This window comes from Homo sapiens, chromosome 19 (genome assembly GCF_000001405.40).
Source record: "Homo sapiens chromosome 19, GRCh38.p14 Primary Assembly".
Taxonomy (NCBI): domain Eukaryota; kingdom Metazoa; phylum Chordata; class Mammalia; order Primates; family Hominidae; genus Homo; species Homo sapiens.
Genome location: NC_000019.10, coordinates 6463134 through 6484870, shown reverse-complemented (window position 1 = coordinate 6484870; position 21737 = coordinate 6463134). Strand labels below are relative to the sequence as shown.

At 55.5% G+C, this 21737-nt stretch overlaps 2 protein-coding genes across 12 annotated transcripts, besides 5 other annotated features; one reads left to right on the top strand and one right to left on the bottom strand.

The window, feature by feature from the left end:
* Positions 2599-2893: an enhancer, noted in NCBI's record as "tiled region #5032; HepG2 Activating DNase unmatched - State 4:PromP". NCBI's record gives its function as "activates a minimal TATA promoter and a strong SV40 promoter by Sharpr-MPRA in HepG2 cells {active_cell/tissue: HepG2}" and the evidence as "EXISTENCE:reporter gene assay evidence [ECO:0000049][PMID:27701403]".
* On the top strand, positions 3084-17664 carry DENND1C (DENN domain containing 1C). 9 transcript variants are annotated; one of them, XM_006722906.4, is made up of 23 exons: positions 3084-3192; positions 4881-4884; positions 4969-5012; positions 5153-5202; positions 5815-5934; positions 6019-6088; positions 7413-7493; positions 7588-7653; positions 7744-7797; positions 7904-8014; positions 8934-9034; positions 9120-9165; positions 9286-9387; positions 9472-9597; positions 11878-11982; positions 13375-13465; positions 13566-13606; positions 14505-14576; positions 15231-15275; positions 15918-16025; positions 16226-16293; positions 16430-16637; positions 16753-17664. In XM_006722906.4, the coding sequence occupies exons 4-23, from the start codon at positions 5159-5161 to the stop codon at positions 17365-17367; spliced, it is 2274 nt and encodes a 757-aa protein (XP_006722969.1). In that variant the 5' UTR covers positions 3084-3192; positions 4881-4884; positions 4969-5012; positions 5153-5158; the 3' UTR covers positions 17368-17664. The 9 variants fall into 9 exon arrangements, with proteins under 9 accessions (XP_006722969.1, NP_079174.2, XP_011526620.1 ...); NM_024898.4 differs by having other exon boundaries at positions 4820-4884; XM_011528318.3 differs by lacking the exon at positions 4881-4884.
* Positions 4490-4989: an enhancer, noted in NCBI's record as "H3K4me1 hESC enhancer chr19:6479893-6480392 (GRCh37/hg19 assembly coordinates)". NCBI's record gives its function as "activates a minimal SCP1, AML or CMV promoter by ChIP-STARR-seq in naive H9 embryonic stem cells {active_cell/tissue: H9 hESC(naive)}" and the evidence as "EXISTENCE:reporter gene assay evidence [ECO:0000049][PMID:30033119]".
* Positions 8537-9276: an enhancer, noted in NCBI's record as "H3K4me1 hESC enhancer chr19:6475606-6476345 (GRCh37/hg19 assembly coordinates)". NCBI's record gives its function as "activates a minimal SCP1, AML or CMV promoter by ChIP-STARR-seq in naive H9 embryonic stem cells {active_cell/tissue: H9 hESC(naive)}" and the evidence as "EXISTENCE:reporter gene assay evidence [ECO:0000049][PMID:30033119]".
* CRB3 (crumbs cell polarity complex component 3) lies at positions 17650-21094 on the bottom strand. 3 transcript variants are annotated; one of them, NM_174881.4, is made up of 5 exons: positions 20521-20600; positions 20088-20263; positions 19253-19326; positions 18262-18405; positions 17650-17920 (listed from the first exon to the last, which is right to left on the bottom strand). In NM_174881.4, the coding sequence occupies exons 2-5, from the start codon at positions 20167-20169 to the stop codon at positions 17849-17851; spliced, it is 372 nt and encodes a 123-aa protein (NP_777377.1). In that variant the 5' UTR covers positions 20170-20263; positions 20521-20600; the 3' UTR covers positions 17650-17848. The 3 variants fall into 3 exon arrangements, with proteins under 3 accessions (NP_777377.1, NP_777378.1, NP_631900.1); NM_174882.3 differs by lacking the exon at positions 20521-20600 and adding an exon at positions 20658-21094 and having other exon boundaries at positions 17650-18405; NM_139161.5 differs by having other exon boundaries at positions 17650-18405.
* Positions 20192-20733: an enhancer, noted in NCBI's record as "H3K27ac-H3K4me1 hESC enhancer chr19:6464149-6464690 (GRCh37/hg19 assembly coordinates)". NCBI's record gives its function as "activates a minimal SCP1, AML or CMV promoter by ChIP-STARR-seq in primed H9 embryonic stem cells {active_cell/tissue: H9 hESC(primed)}" and the evidence as "EXISTENCE:reporter gene assay evidence [ECO:0000049][PMID:30033119]".
* Positions 20642-20711: a silencer, noted in NCBI's record as "silent region_9953". NCBI's record gives its function as "represses an Ori minimal core promoter by ATAC-STARR-seq in GM12878 lymphoblastoid cells {active_cell/tissue: GM12878}" and the evidence as "EXISTENCE:reporter gene assay evidence [ECO:0000049][PMID:35858748]".

The following is a 21737-nucleotide window of genomic DNA, read 5'->3' as shown; positions in this document are numbered from 1 at the left end:
TTACTTTCCCGAGACAGAGTCTCTCTCTGCTGCCCATGCTGCAGTGCAGTGGTGCAATCTTCACTCACTGCAACCTCTGCCTCCTGGGTTCAAACAATCCTCCCACTCAGCCTCCCAAGTAGCTGGGACTACAGGTGCACACCACCATGCCCAGCTAATTTCTGTATTTTTTGTAGAGACGGGGTTTCACCATGCTGCCCAGGCTGGTCTCAAACTTCTGCCTCAAGCAATCCACCCCCCTCAGCCTCCCAGAGTGCTAGGATTACAGGTGTGAACCACTGCACCCTGCCAGAGCCACCGCACTGGGCCTCAAGCCTCTTTTATAAAGGCATTAATCCCACTGTTGAGGGTGGATACCTCTTGACCTCATCACCTCCCAGAGGCCTCACCTATTTTTTTTTTTTTTTTTTGAGACGGAGTTTCACTCTTGTTGCCCAGGCTGGAGTGCAATGGCGCAATCTCGGCTCCTCTTACTACTGCCTTGGGGCTTTAGGTTTCAACATACGAATTTTGGAGGGACACATATTCGGACAATAGCACATGTCCATCAGACTGTGTGAGGATGTGGCTGACGGGATTCTGACTCTGTATGTGTCCAGTGACTGTGGGTACGAGGTGTCTTCTTCTTCTTCTTCTTTTTTTTTTTTTTGATGGAGTTTTGCTCTTGATGCCCAGGCTGGAGTGCAATGGCACGATCTTGGCTCACCACAGCCTCCGCCTCCCATGTTCAAGCAATTCTCCTGCCTCAGCCCCCTGAGTAGCTAGGATTACAAGTATGTGTCACCACCACACCCGGCTAATTTTGTATCTTTAGTAGAGACGGGGTTTCTCCAAGTTGCCCATGCTGGTCTCAAACTCCCGACCTCAGGTGACCCGCCCACCTCGGCCTCCCAAAGTGCTGGGATTACAGGTGTGAGCCACCGCACCCGGCCACGAGGTGTTTTCACACCACACAGTGGTCTGAGTCTGTTGGCAGGATTTCATGTGTAGGTGTGACCCTGACTATATCATGTTCTGTTTTTGTGCCTGCAGATATGTTCACATATCCTGTCTCAACATGACTACGTCTGTCCACCTGTGTGCCTGTGTCTTTTTTGTTGTTTTTGTTTGTTCCTGTGTTTGTTTGGAGATAGGGTCTTACACCGTTGCCCAGGCTGGAGTGCAATGGCACGATCACAGCTCACTACAACCCCCACCACCTGGGCTCAAGGGATCCTCCCGCCTCAGCCTACAGAATAGCTGGGACTACTGCACCTGGCTAAAGTTTTAATTTTTGTAAAGATGGGGTCTTGTTATATTGCTCAGGCTGATCTTTAACTCCTGGCCTCAAACAATCCTACCTCAGCCTCCCAAGGTGCTGGGATTACTGAGCCACTGCCTCCAGCCCCTGTGTCTTTCATAGTCTGCAGCACGGCTTGAGTGTGTCGGGCTGTCATGAGTATCTGGCTGTCATGTGAGTCCAGCTGTGTCTCTCTCTGCATGTGGCCGGGTCTTGGCTATAACTATATCTGGTTATTACTTGAGCTATGTCTGTGCTGTGTTTCCATCTATCTGGGTCTATTTCTCTGTTATTCTGTTTGTATCAATGGCTGTGGTCTCTGTGTAACTGTTTATTGTGTCTCTGTCTGTCTCTGCATTTGTTTGTTTGTTTGTTTGCTTTGTTTTTGTTTTTGTTTTTGAGATGGAGTCTCACTCTTTCACCCAGGCTGGAGTGCAGTGGCACGATCTCGGCTCACTGCAACCTCTGCCTCCCGGATTCAAGTGATTCTCCTGCTTCAGCCTCCCAAGCAGCTGGGATTACAGGCACATGCCACCATGCCCAGCTAATTTTTTGTTTGTTTGTTTGTTTTTGATTTTTTGAGACAGAGTCCTGCTCTGTCGCCCAGGCTAGAGTACAGCGGCGCGATATCGGCTCACTGCAAACTCCGCCTCCCAGGTTCAAATAATTCTGCCTCAGCCTCCTGAGTAACTGGGATTACAGATGCCCACCACCGTGCCTGGCTAATCTTTGTATTTTTAGTAGAGACTGGGTTTCACCATCTTGGCCAGGCTGGTCTCGAACTCCTGACCTCGTGATCCACCTGCCTCAGCCTCCCAAAGTGCTGGGATTACAGATGTGAGCCACCGCACCTGGCCTGTATTTTTTTTTAATTAGAGACAGGGTTTCACCATGTTGGCCAGGCTGGTTGCAAACTCCTGACCTCAAGTGATCCGCTTACCTTGTCTTTCTGCGCACAATGGGTGTGTAACTGTGACTAAGTTGTTTTTTTTTTTTTTTGAGACAGGATCTCACTTTGTTGCTCAGGCTGGAGTACAGTAGTGCAATCTTGGTTCACTATGGCCTCAAACTCCCCAGGCTCAGGCGATCCTCCTGACTCAGCCTCCTGGGTAAGCTGGGACTATAGGTGCGTGCCACCACCGCCAGCTATAATTTTTGTAGCTTTTATAGACACAGGGTTTCGCCATGTTTCCCAGGCTGGTCTCGAACTCCTGGGCTCAAGCGGTCCTCCCACCTTGGCCTCTCAAAGTGCTGGGATTATAGGCGTGAGCCACTGTGCCCGGCCTGGGACTATGATCCAGCTGTAGGACTCCCTATCTCTCCATGTCTGTCGTCTCTGGCTCTTCTGCACTCGGTTTGTCTGTGCTGATGACTTCCTGAGCGTGTAACTGTCTGTGTCTGTGTCTGTCTGTCCGTCCCTGTGCCTGTACTTCGTGCTCTTTGTCCCCATCCCTGGCCCCCCCACCGTCCACTTTACAGGTGGCTCCCTCTGGTGGTCCACCAGTGACCGTCCAGGCCAAATGGACCAAGGGAAAGAGACGGGGAGGCATTTCATTAATAGACAGACTGTGAATCTTGGCTGCTGCGGAGCGGGGAAGGAGAGATGAGGGCCCAGGCACGATGGGGGGAACCAGACACAGTCCAGCCTGGCGGGGACGGAGCTGGGGGTCTGCCTTCCCAGGCTGACCACTTATTGCCCACCCATCCCCAACATAATTAGCAGGCAGGATGCCTGGGTTTCTCACGGGGGTGGGGGCAGGGCCTCTGTCCGGGGACGTCACCCGTTAAACTTCCTCTCTCAGCCACACAGGAAGCTGAGCCGGCTTGGGGCCCAGCATACACAGGCCCCCAGGACCCCTGGGGAGAGGGCCCCGCTGGGCTGGCCCTGCAGGGACCATGGAATCCAGAGCTGAGTAAGAGCCACCCCATCCCTCATTCTCTGGTACAAGATTCCCGGGCCAGGCCTGAGCCGGGGCAGAGGGGAGCTGGGGCTGGAGCAGGCCCGGGAGGTGCAGTGACCTGCCAGGGCAGGTGGCTGGAATCAGATACTCCATGGGCCTCCGCTATGACCTTCACTCTGGGACAGGCCACTCTCGGTCCCCTCCTCTCTCTCTCTCTCTCTCTCTCTATCCAGCTCCTGTGATTATGTCTATAGCTCTGTGAATGCATGTACCCCTCTGAGCTTTGTCCTTGGTATGTCTGAGTGATGGCTTCAGGGGGTCCACAGGGCGGATGATCAGGGCAGAGGGGAGGCTGGGTGTTGGTATGAGTGGGTGATCGTGTGTGACTTGTGTCGGCGTGAGGGTGAAGTGCTGGGGTACCCATGGTGGGGACTGTGTGTGCAACTGGGCGGGACAGTGTGTGTGCAGCTGATCTCCCTCTAGATCTCCCTGTCTCTCTCCTTGAGCCCAAGGCTGCCTCTTCTGCTTGATATGGGGGCAGAGGAGGAAAGCAGAGATTGCAGGGCTTACAGTAAGTACCTAGGTATCCTGCCCTCCTTTCTCTGATGAGACATGTGGGACCAGCCACGAGGGTTCTATGGGGTCTCACACACAGAGACACACAGCCAGCCCACAAGGATCCCACGCGGTTACCCAGTGACACTCACAGCTGTACAGGAAAATATAGATGTCATTCACTTGCTCGGGCACACACACTCACATCTATACAAGAAAATATAGATGGCATGGCTAGATGCAGTGACTCAAGCCTGTAATCCCAGCAATTTGGGAGGCTGAGGCGGGCAGATCACCTGAGGTCAGGAGTTTGAGAACAGCCTGGCCAGTATGTGAAACCCTGTCTCTACTAAAAATATGAAAATTAGCTGGGCGTGGTGGCGGGCACCTGTAATCCCAGCTACAGGGAGGCTGAGGCAGGAGAATCGCTTGAACCTGTGGGGTGGAGGTTGCAGTGAGCCAAGATCGTGCCACTGTACTCCAGCCTGGGTGACAAAGCAAAACTCCATCTCAAAAAAATAGATAGATAGATAGATAGATAGATAGATAGATAGATAGATAGATAGATAGATAGGTGGGTGGGTGGATGGATAGGTGGGTGGGTGGGTGGATGGATGGATGGATGGATAGACAGAGACAGACAGACAGACAGATAGATGGATATATATATAGAGAGAGAGAGATGTAATTCACTTAGCTTGGGACTGCACGGGCTGTCCTTCATATCTGTGCAGTCTCATGCCACAGATATAGGAGACAGTCTCATCTTTTCAGGCAGACAGCAGACAGGATCACACACACACTGCCTGCTCACAAAAGCCATGCACTCAGCCACACACAATCATACACAGCCACACACACACAGTCACACTTTCTCACTCCATCCTGTACTTGTGTGTTCAATTAACACTGCTGCACACACAGCCTCACACAACCACACACTCACAGCCACAAACCCCCAGAGTCATGCACATGCCGACGCACCTTGTGGCACATGCACACACAACCACACTTGTGTGCAAAGTGGCAGACACAACCACACATGCATAGAAGCAAGTCTCTGGACCCCTTCTGCATCCCACAGAGGGGGCTCCCCTGCTGTGTTTGATTGGTTCTTCGAAGCGGCCTGCCCTGCCTCCCTGCAGGAGGGTGAGTTGGGAGCCTGGGAGTGAGGGAGTGGGAGGGGAGGGTGGGCCTGGGTCGCTGAACTTAGAGGCGTGCTCTCTTCTACAGATCCCCCCATCCTGCGGCAGTTCCCTCCAGACTTCAGGGACCAGGTATTCAGGCTGGCTCCTTGCTCCCCCAGGGCGAGGGCCAGTCTCCCAGGGGGAGGGGACTTGGTTTCTTGGACCTGGAGCCCAGGGAGGTGGTGCCCGACCTCAGTGGCCAAGCAGTCTGCGCTTTTCTTCACCTCCAGGAAGCTATGCAGATGGTGCCTAAATTCTGCTTCCCTTTTGATGTGGAAAGGTACGGAAGGGCGGGGAGATCCAAGGACTCAGGGACTCAGATCTCTCAGGGGCCCCAAGGACTCAACACCTAGAGACTCAGACATCTGGAAACCCATACACTCGAGGACCCTGAGACTCAGAGACTCAGACACTCAGGGGCCCTGAGAACTAGGGACCTATATACATTAGCATCCAGGGACTCAGACACTCAGGGACCCAGAGATCTAGGGACTCAGGAACCCAGGGACCCAGGGACCCAGGGACTCAGAGACTCAAGGACTCAGGGACACAAGGATTCAGGGACTTCGGAACCCAGAGACTCAGAAACTCAGGGACCAGGGACTCAGGGACTCAGGGACTCAGGGACTGAGGAACCCAGGGACTTAGGGATTCAAGGACCCAGAGATCCAGAAACCCAGAGATCCAGGGACCCAGGGACTCAGGGACCCAGAGATCCAGGGACCCAGAGATTCAGGGACCCAGGGATTCTGAGACCCAGGGATCCAGACATTCAGGGATCCTGACAACTAGAGACCCATACACTCAGGGTCCTAGGAGCTTTGTTGGGGAGCGGGGACATCCTCAGACAGCTGGGATGTCCAGGTCTCTCTAACAGCCCTTCCCACTCCAGGGAGCCCCCCAGCCCCGCCGTGCAGCATTTCACCTTCGCCCTCACAGACCTTGCCGGCAACCGCAGATTTGGTTTCTGCCGCCTGCGGGCGGGTACCCAGAGCTGTCTCTGCATCCTCAGGTGCGGGATATGGGGGTTGGAGGGGGGGATGGGAAAGGCCGAGGCCTAGGGACACTTCGTGGAACCTGTCTCCTCTCTCCACAGCCACCTGCCTTGGTTCGAGGTGTTTTACAAGCTATTGAACACAGTGGGAGACCTCCTAGCCCAGGACCAAGTGAGACCAGCCCCTCTCTCACTCCTGTGGGAGTCCCAGCCCCCACCCCCCTCAACCTCCCAACCCCTCCCTCTCAGATCTCCCAGGCTTGGCAGGGCACACTGTGTCACACCTGTAGTCCCTGCATTTTGGGAGGCCGAGGTGGGAGGATCCCTTGAGCCCTGGAGTTCGAGACCAGCTGGGCAACATAGTGAGACCCCCGTCTCTACAAAATATAAAAAATAATTGGCCAAGTGCTGTGGCTCACGCCTGTAATCCCAGCACTTTGGGAGGACAAGGCGAGCGGATCACCTGAGGTCAGGAGTTCGAGACCGGCCTGACCGACATGGTGAAGCCCCGTCTCTACTAAAAATACAAAAAAAAAAAAAAAAAATTAGCCGGCCGTCGTGGCACACGCCTGTAATCCCAGCTGCTCAGAGGCTGCGGCAGGAGAATCGCTTGAACCCGGGAGGCGGAAGTGGCAGTGAGCCGAGATCGCGCCATTGCACTCCAGCTTGGGCAACAGGAGCGAAACTCCGTCTCAAAAAATAAAAATAAAAAATTAGCCAGGCGTGGTGGTGCACACCTGTGGTCCCAGCTACTCAGGAGAGCAAGGTGGGAGGATCAACTGAGCCCAGGAGTTCGAAGCTATAGTGAGCTATGATCGCAGCACTGCACTCCAGCCTGGGGGACAGAGCAAGACCCTGTCTCAAGAAAAAAAATTTCTTTTAGATGGAGTCTTCCTCTGTCGCCCAGGCTGGAGTGCGGTGGTGCGATTCCGCCTCACTGCAACCTCCGCATTCCGGGTTCAGGCGATTCTTCCGCCTCAGTCTCCCAAGTAGCTGGGACTATAGGCGCGGCCCACCAGCCCGGCTAATTTTTTTTTTTTTTTTTGTACTTTTAACAGAGACGTGTTTTCACTATGTTGGCCAGGCTGGACACGGACTCCTGGCCTCAGGTGATCCGCATGCCTCAGCCTCCCAAAGGGTTGGGATTACAGGCGCGAGCCACCGCGCCCGGCCTACAAGGAAAAATTTAAATTAAAAAATTTAAAAAGCCGGGCGCGGTGGCTCACGCCTGTAATTGTAGCCCTTTGGGAGGCCGAAGCAGCAGGATCCCTTGAGCCCAGGAGTTCAAGACCAGCCTGGGCAACATAGGGAGACTTTGTCTCTATTATTATTATTATTATTATTATTAATTTCTTTTAAAGAAAGAAAAAAAAAAACTCCCAGGACTGACCTGAGCCCTTGGCTCCTCCCAGACCACTCAACCTTAGTCATAGCCCTCGGAATCCCCAATCCCCACATCTGGCTCAGCCACCCCCGCCCCTCCACGTCCCACCCAGGTCACCGAGGCAGAGGAACTTCTTCAAAATCTGTTTCAGCAGTCCCTGTCTGGGCCCCAGGCCTCAGTGGGGCTTGAGCTGGTGAGTAGCTCCCATTCCCTGGGCGCTGGACCTTAGGTGGATGGGAAGGCTGCGTCCCAGCCATCATGACCACAGAGTCGTGCCTCTTCCCCAGGGCAGCGGAGTGACGGTCTCCAGCGGGCAGGGTATCCCCCCCCCTACCCGGGGGAATAGCAAGCCGGTGAGCGGGGCTCGGGGACCCTGGAAGGTCGGGGGTCCAGGTGAGGCCAGCCTCCTGACTGATTGATCCCCCTGCCAATACCCCCACCAGCTTTCCTGCTTCGTGGCCCCGGACTCCGGCCGCCTGCCATCCATCCCTGAGAACGTGAGTGGGGAGGGGTCTCTGGGGGTGAGAACAGGTCCCGAAACCCGGACCGGGGATGCAAGATCCAGGGGCCCGTCCACGCCCAGAGCGACTCTCTGATCCTCAGAGGAACCTAACGGAGCTGGTGGTGGCCGTGACTGACGAGAACATCGTGGGGCTGTTCGCGGCGCTCCTGGCCGAGAGAAGAGTCCTGCTCACCGCCAGCAAACTCAGCACCGTGAGGCGGGGTCCGCCGGGCCGGGGTGGGAGCAGGGCCTGGCTCCGCCCCGGGGGGCGGGACAAGGGGGCTGATTCCTGGCTCTAACCCTACTGCGCGAGACCCGAGGGCGAAGTCCTGGCCCCGCCCCTTCGAAGGTCTTGGAGAGTTGAACTCTGGCCCCGCCCTCGTGGGAGGGGGCTGCGCTGCAGCTCCTCCTTTTTGGGAGTACTGTGCTCAGGCTCCACCCACTATGGGCCGCAACACGTCTGGCTCCACCCCTCCGGACCCTCAGGGACACTGAGAACTAGGGACTTATACACGTGGGAATCCAGGGACCCAGGGACCCAGGGACTCAGGGACTCAGAGATCTGAGGACCCAGGGACCCGAATACCCAGGGACCTAGGAACACAGGGACTCAGATAACAAGGGGCGCAAAAAACTAGAGACCCATACTCCCAGGGACCCTGAAACCCAGGGTCAAAGGCAGACGTGGAGACTGGCTCCACCCCTAGGGGCGGGGCCAAATGATTGCCTTCCGGCTCCACCTCTTTGGGTGGGGTTACGTCTTGGATCCACCCCTAGGGGCGGGACAAGGGCGGTCTACGTCATAGCTCCACCTCTTTCGGGGTGGAGTCAGTGGAGGCTCAGTCCTTGCTCTACCTGCATGGGGAAGACTCAGGGGTGTTGCCTATTAACTGCGCCCCTTACAGAGAGGGATCAGGACGGTATGAGTCCTGGCTTCACCCGCTTAAAGCACTGTAAGTGGCCAAATTCCTGGTCTCCACATGATTTCTAAAGGGGTTCGAGTTGTCACTCATTATCCAGCAGTGGATGGGGAGGGGGAACAGGAGACTGGGGACGTGGGAAATGCAGCTGGAAGAGACCTCGCGCTAGAGGGTCCAGGCCCTGACTCCACGCCCCGCCATCGCTCCCCAGCTGACCTCGTGCGTCCACGCGTCCTGCGCGCTCCTGTACCCCATGCGCTGGGAGCACGTGCTGATCCCCACGCTGCCCCCACACCTGCTGGACTACTGCTGGTGAGCGAGGGCAGCTGGGAGGGGCAGGGCCTGTGGGCAGGCCCTGGGGGCGGTGCCTGCATGACCCCGTCCCCTCGGTCCGCAGCGCGCCCATGCCCTACCTCATTGGAGTGCACGCCAGTCTCGCCGAGGTGAGCGTGGATCTACCCAGACGACGGGGACGTGAGGGTTCCCCCTTCCTCTACATCCCCAGATGCCCTCCTCTGCCAAGGACTCCCGGGCTCTGAGCGGCCGACCCCGCTTTTCCGCAGAGAGTACGAGAAAAAGCCCTGGAGGACGTCGTGGTGCTGAACGTGGACGCCAATACCTTGGAGACGACCTTTAACGACGTGCAGGCGCTGCCTCCAGACGTGGTCAGTGTCGCCCCTCCCACCTTCCTGCCCCGGGAGGCGAGGGGCCCACACCTGCCCACTCAGGGCCACTCCCTTGTGCTTCAGGTGTCCCTGCTGAGGCTCCGGCTCAGGAAGGTCGCCCTGGCCCCCGGGGAAGGGGTGTCCCGTCTCTTCCTCAAAGCCCAGGCCCTGCTCTTCGGGGGGTACCGCGACGCACTCGTCTGCAGCCCGGTGAGCAGCGGGGACGCTGCGGGAGAGGTCTCGTGGGTTCCTGAATGAATCGCAATGTAACGATAGGTACAGTAGATGGCCGGACGCAGTGGCTCACGCCTGTAATCCCAACACTTTGGGATGCCGAGATGGGAGAATTGCTTGAGCCCAGAAGTTCAAGACCAGCCTGGGCAACACAGTGAGACCCCTCCCGTTTGTTGTTGTTGTTGTTTGTTTGTTTGTTTGTTTGTTTGTTTTTGAGACAGAGTTTCACTCTGTTCCCCAGGCTGGAGTGCCTCCCGGGTTCAAGCGATTCTCCTGCCTCAGACTCCCAAGTAGCTGGGACTGCAGGTGCGCACCACCATGCCCAGCTAATTTTTGTAGTTTTAGTAAAAACGGGGTTTCTCCATGTTGGCCAGGCTGGTCTCGAACTCCTGACCTCAGGTGATCTGCCCGCATCAGGCTCCTAAAGTTCTGGGATTACAAGTGTGAGCCACCATGCCCGGCCACCGTCTCTATATATTTTTTTAATTAAAAAATAATAATGATAGGTAGCATTAATGGAGTGCTTACTTTGTGCCTCTGTTTGCCCCTCTGTAAAATGGGACCCCAATAGTGCCACCCAAAAGGATATTAGAATCAGTGAATCAGCATTTTCCCAGCACTTTGAATCGTACCTGACATACAGCAAGCACTCAATAAATGCTAGCTCCTACCACTGCTATTATCTCATTTAATGCTCATAACATTTTGAGATGGATACTGTGATAGTCCCATTTTCCATATGAGGAAACCAAGGCTTTGGAGAAGTCCCACAGTGGGTGAATGTTGAAGCCGGGGCCTTGATCTCTGAAGCCCCCTCCCCTGTTTTTCACAACCAATCTGTAAAATCATTGGGGGGTTCTAGTATCACTTGAGCATCTGACGTTTTTGTCATCTCTGCATCCTGAATCTGCACACAGACCACCCACTTCCTCTGTCTCCACCCTGGCCTGGACCCTCTCATTGTTTGCCTAAAATTAATGCACTGATCTCTCCCAAAAACTGGGACTCCCCCGCAAGCAGTCTTCTTCTTCTTCTTTTTTTTTTTTTTTTCTCTTGAGACAGAGTCTTGCTCTCTTGCCCAGGCTGGAGTGCAGTGGCACAATCTCGGCTCACTGCAACCTCCACCTCCTGGGTTCAAGCAATTCTCCTGCCTCAGCCTCCTGAATAGCTGGGATTACAGGCATGCACCACCACAATGGCTAATTTTTTGTATTTTTAGTACAGATGGGGTTTCACCATGTTAGCCAGGCTGGTCTCAAACTCCAGACCTCAGGTGATCCATCCATCTCCTCTTCCCAGAGTGCTGAAATTACAGGTGTGATCCACCGCGCCCGGCCTCCTGCAAGCAGCCCTCTGCTTTATCTCCCAGAGTCTGTCCTCCCTGCAGTGGCCAGAGGTCACCTGTGAACACCCGAGTCAGATCATTTCCCTCCCCCCACCCCCCCGCCCACACCCCTCCCGGGCTTCCACCTTACTCGAGATAAATGCTTAAATCAGCCGGGTCGGTGACTCACACTTTTGAGAGGCCAAGGTGTGTGGATTGCTTGAGCCCAGGAGTTTGGACCAGCCTGGGAAACACAGTGAGACCCTGTCTCTACAAAAACTACAAAAATTAGCTGGGCGCAGTGGCGTGCACCTGTGGTCCCAGCTACTTGAGAGGCTGAGGTGGGAGGATCGCTTGAGCTCAGGAGGCAGAGGTTGCAGTGAACCAAGATCACACCACTGCACTCCAGCACGGGTGACAGAGTGAGACCCTGACTCAAAAAAAGAAATGAAAAAAAAAAAAAAAAAAACCAGGGCTGGGCGCGGTGGCTCACACCTGTAATCCCAGCACTTTGGGAGGCCGAGGTGGGTGGATCACGAGGTCAAGAGATGGAGACCAACCTGGCCAACATGGTGAAACCCAGTCTCTACTAAAAATACAAAAATTAGCTGGACATGGTGGCACGTGCCTGTAGTCCCAGCTACTCAAGAGGCTGAGGCAGGAGAATCGCTTGAACCCTGGAGGCAGAGGTTGCAGTGAGCTGAGATCACGCCACTGCATTCCAGCCTGGCGACAGAGCGAGACTCCGTCTCAAAAAACAAAACAAACAAACAAACAAAAAACAGCTTAAGTCCTCCCTGCCATCCATGAGGCCCCACACAGGATCAGACACACAGCAAGTGCCTAATCAATGTTTGCTACATAAATATATAGTAGAATGAGGGAGGGCCAGGAGCACCCCAGGGAGCTCAGAACTCCAACGCTTCTTCCAGGGCCAGCCAGTGACCTTCAGTGAGGAAGTCTTCTTGGCCCAGAAGCCTGGGGCACCTCTGCAGGCCTTCCACCGGCGGGCTGTGCACCTGCAGCTGTTCAAACAGGTATGCCAGAGCCCTGAGGGTCCAGCTGGGACTGGAGGTGGACTGCTGAGTCCCCGAGGGCTTGTCTGAACTGGCAGGGTTGAGGGCAGACTCCTGGGTCCCTGAGGGTATAGCTGGAGACAGTCCAGCAGGATCCCCTACTCCAGGGTTCCCAAGTGGGGAAGGACTGAACTCCTGGATTCCTAAAGATGGGAGCCCCCGGCTGGGCACAGTGGCTCATGCCTGTAATCCCAGCACTTTGGGAGGCCGAGGCAGGCGGATCACGAGTTCAGGAGTTCAAGACCAGCCCTACCAATATGGTGAAACCCCATCTCTACTAAAAATACGAAAATTAGCTGGGCGTGGTGGCGTGCGCCTATAATCCCAGCTACTCAGGAGGCTGAGGCAGGAGAATCGTTTGAACCCGGGAGGCAGACGTTGCAGTGAGCTGAGATCACACCACTGCACTCCAGCCTGGATAATAGAGCGAGACTCCGTCTCAAACAAAACAAAACAAAACAAAAACATGGGAGCCCCCAACTCCTGGGTTCCTGGGGGACAAGACCTACTCCTAGGTCCCTGAGGGAAATCAGGGTGGGACCAAATTCGCAGGTCCCTAAGCAGGTGTCTTTCTGGGACTGGGGTGGCGGTCCAAGCTGGACTCCAGAGGGGATGGGTCCTGACTGTGAAATCCCAGGATTTCCTGAGTCCTAGGGATATGGGTGGGGGGGCGGGGTGGCACATAGGGCTGGACTTCTAGGCCCCTGGGAGAAGGTAGCTTGGACCACAAGATCCCTAAAGATGGGGTCCACCTACTCTTGATTCAATGAGAGCGGGTGGGTAGTTCTAGAGGGGGCAGAAATCAATTTCTGGGTCCCTGAAAGGGGCAGGGCTTGGTCCCTGGGGACAGGTCCTGACTCGGGGAGGGAGGAGAAGGTAGGATCTCTGGTTTCTAAAGTGGGCTCCGGGCCGGGGACAGTGGCTTACGCCTGTAATCCCAGCATTTTGGGAGCCCAAGGCAGACGGATCACCTGAGGTCAGGAGTTCGAAACCAGCCTGGCCAACATGGGGAAACCCTGTCTCTACAAACAATATAAAAGTTAGCTGGGCATGGTGGTGCATGCCTGTAATCCCAGCTACTTGGGAGGCTGAGGCAGGAGAATCACTTAAACCCGGGAAGCGGAGGTTGCAGCGAGCCGAGATCACGCCACTGCACTCCAGCCTGGGTGCCAGAGCAACTCCATCTCAAAAAATAAAAATAAAAAATAAAGTGGGCTCCAGTTTCCCAGGTGCTTGGGGGTGGGCAGGTTGGAGGCCAGAGATGGCTTCTACATCTTGACAGCAGGCAGGCTTCGAAGTGCTGGCATTCAGATGTGTCTCCTGCTGTTTCTGATTTACTGTCCCCCACCCCAGTTCATCGAAGCCCGGCTGGAGAAGCTCAACAAGGGGGAGGGCTTCTCAGATCAATTCGAGCAGGAGATCACTGGCTGCGGGGCCTCCTCAGGTGAGCCCTGAGTCCAGCCCCTGGGTCCCCCACTACCCGCCACCAGCACCCCCAGCCTCAGCCAGCCTTCGGTGACCACCACACTCTCTCCTTACCCCAGGGGCCCTTCGATCCTATCAGCTCTGGGCCGACAATCTAAAGGTAAGACCACCAGAACAATAGGCCGTGGGCGTTGGCTTAGGCCTGTAATCCCAACACATTAGGAGGTGGAGATAGAAGGATTGCTGCGACCAGAAGTTTGAGACCGGTTAGGGCAACGTGACGAAACCCCATCTCTACTGAAAAAAAAAAAATTCGCTAGGTGTAGCTGTAGTCCCAGCTACTCGGGAGGCTAAGGTGGAAGGATGGCTTGAGCCCCAGGAGGTGGAGGTTGTAGTGAGCCGAGATCATGCCACTGCACTCCAGCCTGGGTGACAGAGCAAGACCCTGTCTCAAAAACCACTTTGTTGCCTGGGCACGGTGGCTCATGCCTGTAATCCCAGCACTTTGGGAGGCTGAGGCAGGCGAATTGCCTGAGGTCAGGAGTTTGAGGCTGAGGCGGGCGGATCACAAGGTCAGGAGATCGAGACCATCCTGGCCAACATGGTGAAACTCTCTCTCTACTAAAAATACAAAAATTAGCCGGGTGTGGTGGCAGGCGCCTGTAGTCCCAGCTACTCGGGAAGCTGAGGCAGGAGAATCGCTTGAACCAGGGAGGTGGAGGTTGCAGTGAGCCGAGATGGCACCACTACATTCCAGCCTGGGTAACAGAGCAAGACTGCATCTCAGCAAAAAAAAAAAAAAAACAAAAAAAAACTGTTCTTTGAGACTCCATCTCAAAAAAAACAAAAACAAAAACAAAACACTTAAGTGTGTCTCATTGGATTAATTTAACTCCGCAAGTCACCAGGTAGGGTCATGACTACGATCATGTTCATTTATAGAGGTGAAAAAATGGAGACTCAGAGAGGGAAAGGGGCTTGATTGGCATCACACAACCTGGGATGGGGAGGTGGGATCTGGCCCTAGCCTCTCCCCCTTGGTATCTTCTCTCCCGCAGAAAGGTGGTGGCGCCCTCCTGCACTCAGTCAAGGCCAAGACCCAACCAGCCGTCAAGAACATGTACCGCTCGGTGAGGCTGAGCTGGACAGGCCACTCTTGCTGGGGTGACGAGGGGGAGGGGACAGAGGACACTTTGACCTCCCAAGGATGGAGTATTTTGACCCTGGCAGACACTTTAAACACAAATGATTTAATCAGAACTGAACCAGCAGTTAAACCATTAACAACTCTTCCCCCTTTTATTTTTTATTTATTATACTCATTTTTTGTTGGAATCCTACCCGCCCCCCTCCGCCCCGCCCACGGCCCCTTTAAAATTGACAGCCAAGATTTGCTGGCAAACATTCTTTTTGTCCTTGGATGCTACAATTCCAGGTTCTGCCTTTTATCTCCCAAGCTCAGAAGTTTCCTGGGGCCAATTTTTGCAGCTCAAAATTGTCCGTGCGATTTTGTTCTTCACCGCTTTGAAACAGGAACACCTTGCCCTGTTGCTTTGCCACTCCCCATTTTCTTTGGGGATGACTGCCTCCAGGAATACTCATTTTATATTAGTCAAAGGGGTGAAAGTTTGCATTGACTTCTTAGGTGGTGTATGGGGGGTGGTGAACGTATTTGAGACATGCAGATGGCAAAAAAAAAAGCTATCTTAGGGGACAGAAGGCTGAGCTCTCAAATGCCCAGGATCCCACCACCCTTGGGTAATTCTCTGTCCACTCCTTTATAGGCCAAGAGTGGCTTGAAGGGGGTGCAGAGCCTTCTAATGTATAAGGTAAGATCAACTGGCCGGGTGCAGTGGCTCACCCCTGTAATCCCAGCACTTTGGGAGGCCGAGGCAGGAGGATTGCTTGAGCCCAGGAGTTTGAGACCAGCTTGGGCAATATAGTGGGGCCTTGTCTCTACAAAAAAATAGTTAAAAATTATCTGAATATGGATTGCTTGAGTCTAGAAGGCGGAGGTTGCAGTAAGCTGAGATAGCGCCACTGTACACCAGCCTGGGTGACAGAGAGACCCTGTCTCAAAAAAAAGAAGACTGTGGCTGGGCACGGTGGCTCACGCCTGTAACCCCAGCACTTTGGGAGGCCGAGGAGGGTGGATCACTTGAGGTCAGGAGTTCTAGACCAGCCCGACCAACATGGTGAAACCCCATCTCTACTAAAAATACAGAATTAGCTGGGTATGGTGGCGCACGCCTGTAATCCCAGCTACTTGGGAAGCTGAGGCATGAGAATCGCTTGAACCTGGGAGTCAGAGGTTGCAGTGAGCCGAGATGGCACCACTGCACTCCAGCCTGGGCAACATGAGTGAAGCTTCATTTCAAACAAAAAAAAAAAAAGACTAACTAAAGACCAATGGTAGGGGGTGGTGGGGAGACTCTGTGGCAGAGGTTCCCAGTTCACTCTTCTCTTCCTAGGATGGGGACTCTGTCCTGCAGAGGGGGGGCTCTCTGAGGGCCCCAGCCCTCCCCAGCCGCTCAGACCGCCTGCAGCAACGCCTCCCAATCACTCAGCACTTTGGAAAGGTGAGAGCGCCCCTCCCCCCATGCACACACCTGGAATTATCACTGAATCCTCTACCCATCCCAGTCCCCATCCAGACATCTCACCTCCTTCTTCAACTCCCCAAATATGTGGCACCCACTTCACACTCACCCTTCTCCAGCAAGCCTCAGCCCCCCGATTCTGCAGTCTCCTGAGGTCCTATCGCCCCCACCCTTTGCAGAACCGGCCCCTTCGCCCCAGCAGGAGACGCCAGCTGGAAGAGGGAACTTCCGAGCCCCCAGGGGCGGGGTAAGGCAAAAAGGGAACAGCAGTGTTGAAAGTGGGAGGCCAGGACTGATGGGGAGGAGGGTTCCCAAACTCCAGAGCAGCCTGACCAGGGCTGGGGGTCTTGGGCAAATATCTGAGGCTGCCCATCCTCACCCAGGACACCCCCACTGAGCCCTGAGGATGAGGGGTGCCCGTGGGCAGAAGAAGCTCTGGACAGCAGCTTCTTGGGGTCTGGAGAAGAACTGGATTTGTTGAGCGAGATTCTGGACAGTCTTAGCATGGGAGCCAAGAGCGCAGGCAGCCTGAGACCGAGCCAGAGTTTAGACTGCTGTCACAGAGGAGACCTGGACAGCTGCTTCAGCCTGGTGAGAGCCTCGCCCACTCCCCCAACCCTACCCCAAGTCTTCCCCTAATGGTCCATCCAACTTGCCAGCCCCTCTGCCATCTAAAAGCCACAACTTCCCTATCCATCTCACCTAGCCCAACATACCAAGATGGCAACCAGACGATAAGAAACTACCAGAGCCGGAGCCCCAGCCCCTTTCCCTGCCATCCCTGCAAAATGCCTCGTCTTTGGATGCCACCAGCTCTTCAAAGGACTCCAGGTCCCAGCTGATACCCTCAGAGTCCGACCAAGAAGTCACGTCTCCATCCCAGTCCTCAACAGCTTCTGCAGACCCAAGCATCTGGGGGGACCCCAAACCCTCTCCTCTCACAGAGCCCCTAATTCTTCATCTCACCCCTTCCCACAAGGCAGCTGAAGATTCTACAGCCCAGGAAAACCCCACTCCCTGGCTCTCCACTGCACCCACTGAGCCCAGCCCTCCAGAAAGCCCCCAAATTCTGGCCCCCACAAAGCCCAACTTTGATATAGCCTGGACGTCCCAGCCCCTTGATCCTTCCTCAGACCCCAGTTCTCTGGAGGACCCCAGAGCCCGGCCTCCCAAAGCCCTGCTGGCAGAGCGCGCTCACCTCCAGCCACGGGAGGAACCAGGAGCCCTGAATTCCCCTGCTACACCCACCAGCAACTGTCAAAAGTCCCAGCCCAGCAGCCGGCCCAGAGTCGCTGATCTTAAGAAGTGCTTTGAGGGTTAAGAATCAGGGGTCCAAGAGAGACCCCAGTCCCTCAATAAAGCCACAAGAGCCCAAAAAAGCTGGTTTTTTTCCTGGTGAATTTCTCTGGTGCCCTCACTCTGCTCGGAAATCCATCCCACCCACCTCTGTCCCTCCAAGGGCAGCCTCTCTAACTGGCTCCTAGCAGGGAATTCCAGGAAGCCTCCTGGTCTTCTAGAATCCTGGCAACCTTACAATTCCTCTCGGCATTTGTCACTTCCATCTCAGCTAATGCACCCACCAGCTCAAACACACCAATAAAGCTTTTGTTACATCTCACTACTAATTTTATATAAATATATAAAAGTGAATAGCCCCATCCTCTCTTGACCTCAGGGGCAGAGTCTTTGAAGTACCTTCTTCCCTGCTATTAAGCACTGGGTGGATCTGACTGCCCAGAGAGGGCACTGCCTTTCCCCAAGGTCACACAGCAATGAAGGGAGACAGATGCAGGAGAGGGGACCTAGATGGGCAGGCAGCCCTGCACCGTCTCCTTGGAGTCCTGAGGGGCCCGGGCCTCGGCTGCATGGGAGAACTGAAAGAAAGGAGAGGGGGTTGTGGGGCCTGCTGGACACACAGAGAAAAGTTGGTTCCGCAAGCAGGGGGGTGGGTCCCGAGCCCCAGCACCCTGAGCTGCAGGCACAGCCAAGCAGAGGCAACATGCTGCACAGAGCCCACCACATGGGTGCCCCCAGCCTCTCCCCACAAGTCCTCCTGAGCCATCAGAGGCTGGTGTCTCGGTGGCAGCTGCGGTGTACAAGCCAGCAACCCGCAGTCCTGGGCAGTGTTGGTGGCTGCAGCAGGCCCCAGCGTTCAGATGAGCCGCTCTTCCGGCGGCAACTTGAGGTTGGGGGTCGGTGGCACGCGGGCACCCACCTGCTCCTCGCTACTGGGCCGGTAGGTGCCCTCCGTCTGCCGCTTCTCCCGAAGCTTCCGCACCAACAGTGCCAGCCCCACAGCCAGGAGCAAGGCAGCCAAGAGGGAGAAGACCACGATGATAGCAGTGATGGCTTCTGGACGCTGCAGAGAGGGGACAGGTGTGAATCACCTGAGCCTGGGTAGCCTGTCCACCTCCACCTGAATGGCATCCCCCTCATCACCCCCTACCCCACAACACACACACACACATACACACATCTGCCACTTTTGGTGATCTGATCCCCACAGTGGGGCTTCCTGGATCCCTACCTACCTTGTCTGGGGTGCGAAGGCTCCCCACCACCTGCCATGTCCGGGACACCCCTCGCAAGCACCTGCCATGTCTGGGACTCCGGCTTTTTTTTTTGAGACCGAGTCTTGCTCTGTTGCCCAGGCTGGAGTGCAGTGTCACAATCTCGGCTCACTGCAACCTCCGCCTTCTGGGCTCAAGCAATTCCCCCTGCCTCAGCCTCCCAAGTAGCTGGGATTACAGGTGTGTGCCACCCCGCCTGGCTAATTTTTTGTATTTTTAGTAGAGACAGGGTTTCACCATGTTGGCCGTGCTGGTTTCAAACTCCTGACCTCATGATTTTCCTGCCTCGGCCTCCCAAGGTGTTAGGATTACAGGCGTGAGCCACCGCGCCCGGCCGGGACTCCTGCTTTCATCACATCTACCAAGTCTGAGCTCCTTGCTCCCCCACCCACCTGAGAGGCATATGGAATTCCTGAGCCCACACATCTGACAGCTACAGTATTCCTGCCCACTCCCTCCAGGGTGTCCTAGTCTTCTTGGTCTAAGACTTCAGGTCTCTCCTACTTAGAGCTCTCCAAAGCCACCCTGACCTGCCACCTCTGGGGGGAGGGGGTGTCTAGTCCTCTCTACATGCTATATGTGTGACCCCTAGATAACATCCTTGCTGCCATCTTCCCACATATACCTCCAACTCACCAGGTTGCCATCGGAGCTGGAGCTGGTGGATGAAGGCAAAACAGTGCTATTCTCATTTGCAGAAGTGGTCTGTACTGTGGAGGGTGAAGGCAGAGAATAACTCAGTCTCCATCTTTCTCTCCCATCCCCGCCCATCTGCACCTGCTTTGGGCATTCCCCTTCACCTCCCCCTAGCAGGTCCCAATTCAAACTCTGCCTTTCATTCGCACAGAGATGGTTGGGTGTCTTGCAGGTAAGACCTCTCCCTTGGGTGTTTGCTCCCCAGGACACCCCCCCGACCCAGTCCCGCAGAGCCCAGTAGGGTGTCCAGAAGTCCACCCCTCCCCTACTCACCTCTCGGCCCTGGGCCCTTAAGGATCTGGGCGGGCCTAGCTTTTCCCTGGAGTGTCTGACTCACACCTCCCCACAGGCTCCCAAAACAAATCTAAGACTGAATGGCTGGGGTCTACACCTTCAGCCAACCAGGTCGACCCGGCTCGGCAGGCCTCCTCCCAGCTCCCAGTTCACCCAAAAACACCTGCACTATACCAAGACTCAGGTACGCAGCCCTTACCTCCCCCCAAGTCCTACTTAGGAGCCCCCACTCCAACACACAATTCCACCTCGCTGGGGAACTCAGGTCTCCTAGACCAACTCCCAGTGTCCAAGGAAGAAACTAGAAATCTTAATCCCCCCGAGCCCTAACCCTGTAGACCCCTCCCCAAGGTATTTCTTCCCCGCTCCCCAATTCTTGACCCTCTCTGCGCCCCAGATACCCAGCGCTTCTAAGCCACGTCCCCAGCAGAGATCCAGGAATCCAGACCCCTCCCCCCCAGCGCTCTCAGCTGGTACCTACTTTGCCCCCAGGCTCGGCCCCAGCGGGCCAGCAGGAACGGCAGGCCCAGCGCCAGAAGCAGCCCCAGCCCGGGGTTCGCCATGGGCTGGGTGGCGGGTTGGCAGCGCCGAGGAAGGGGCTTCTCGCGCTCGCCCCTCCTACCGCATCTCCGGCCAGGGGCACCTGCGACGGGGCACCTGGGGACAGGAGAAGGAGAGGCCCAGGCGTTGGGATCGGGGTGGGGACCCCGGCGCAGGCCCACAGGAGAGACAACTGGCGCCAGGGCACCCATGAGTCCCGCCCCGCCCCAGCCGCCAGAGGTCAGCGATTAAAGATTAACTCCCAGGAGCGCGTTCCTGGGCTGGGGAAAGGAAGGGGACGGGACGGGACGGGACGGGACGGGCAGGGTGGACGGGCGAGGGGGCAGGCCTAGCGGTGCGTCCTGCCTTCCTACCTGGCCCGGGCGTCTTTGACCTAGCTCAGGTTCCTGGTCCGTGTCCCTCCCTCGAACCCTCGGTCCGTCGGTCGTTCTGTGGGTCCGACCCCACCGGCTCCGCCCTGTCACGTGACCCGGAAAGTTTAGTCACTCACCTGGGAGAGCGCACTTCCGGCTTGTGCACCTGAGCCTCGCTGAGAGGGCGGAGTCAAGAAGGGGGCGGGGCCGCGCTGTGGGCGCACCTGTAACGGGACCCCAGTCCCTTAATGGGGATGCGGGGAGGGAGACCGCGGAAGCGCGCAGGTGTGAGGGGGACCTTACACCTGCATTGCGAGCATATCTGTGGGAGCGCACAGGTGTGGAGACGCACGGGGTATGTATGTACCCGTGCACTAGGCACTCCTGCCTAGGGCAGACTTGGATGGGGAGCGCTTAATGAGAAAAAATACCTGCCCAGGCGCAATGGCTCACGCCTGTAATCCCAACACTTTGAGAGGCCGAGGCAAGAGGATTGCTTGAGGCCAGGAGTCCGAGACCAGCCTGGGCAACACAGCGAGGCCTCATTCTCTACAAAAAATAAATAAATAAATAAACAAATAAATAAAAAGAAGAAAATAAGCCGGGGGCGGTGGCGTGATCCTGTAATCCCAGCGCTTTGAAAGGCCGAAGTAAGAGAATCACTTGAGGCCAGGAGTTCGAGATCAGCCTGGCCCACAGACGGAGGCCCCATATTTACAAAAAATAAGAAAATTAGCCAGATGTGATGGCACGCACCTGTAGCCCCAGCTACTTGGGAGGCTGAGGTGGGAGGATCGATTGGGCCCAGGAGTGGAGGTAACAGTGAGTGAGCTATGATTGTACCACTGTACTCCAGCCTGGGTGACAAAGTGAGACCCTGTCTCTAAAAAAATTTTAAAAACAAAAAAACAGCTGTATGGTAAACACCTGTGTGGAACCAAACCTGTACAGAAGACAACTGCACAGGTGTTCACATATAAGAACATACAGAAAACAGATGGCCGGGTGCGGCGGCTCACGCCTGTAATCCCAGTACTTTGGGAGGCCTAGGCAGGAGGATCACCTGACGTCAGGAGTTCGAAACCAGACCAGCCTGCCCAACATGGTGAAACCTTGTCTCTACTAAAAATACAAAAATTAGCCGGGTGTGGTGGCAGGTGCCTGTAATCTCAGCTACTCGGGGGGCGCTGAGGCAGGAGAATTGCTTGAACTCAGGA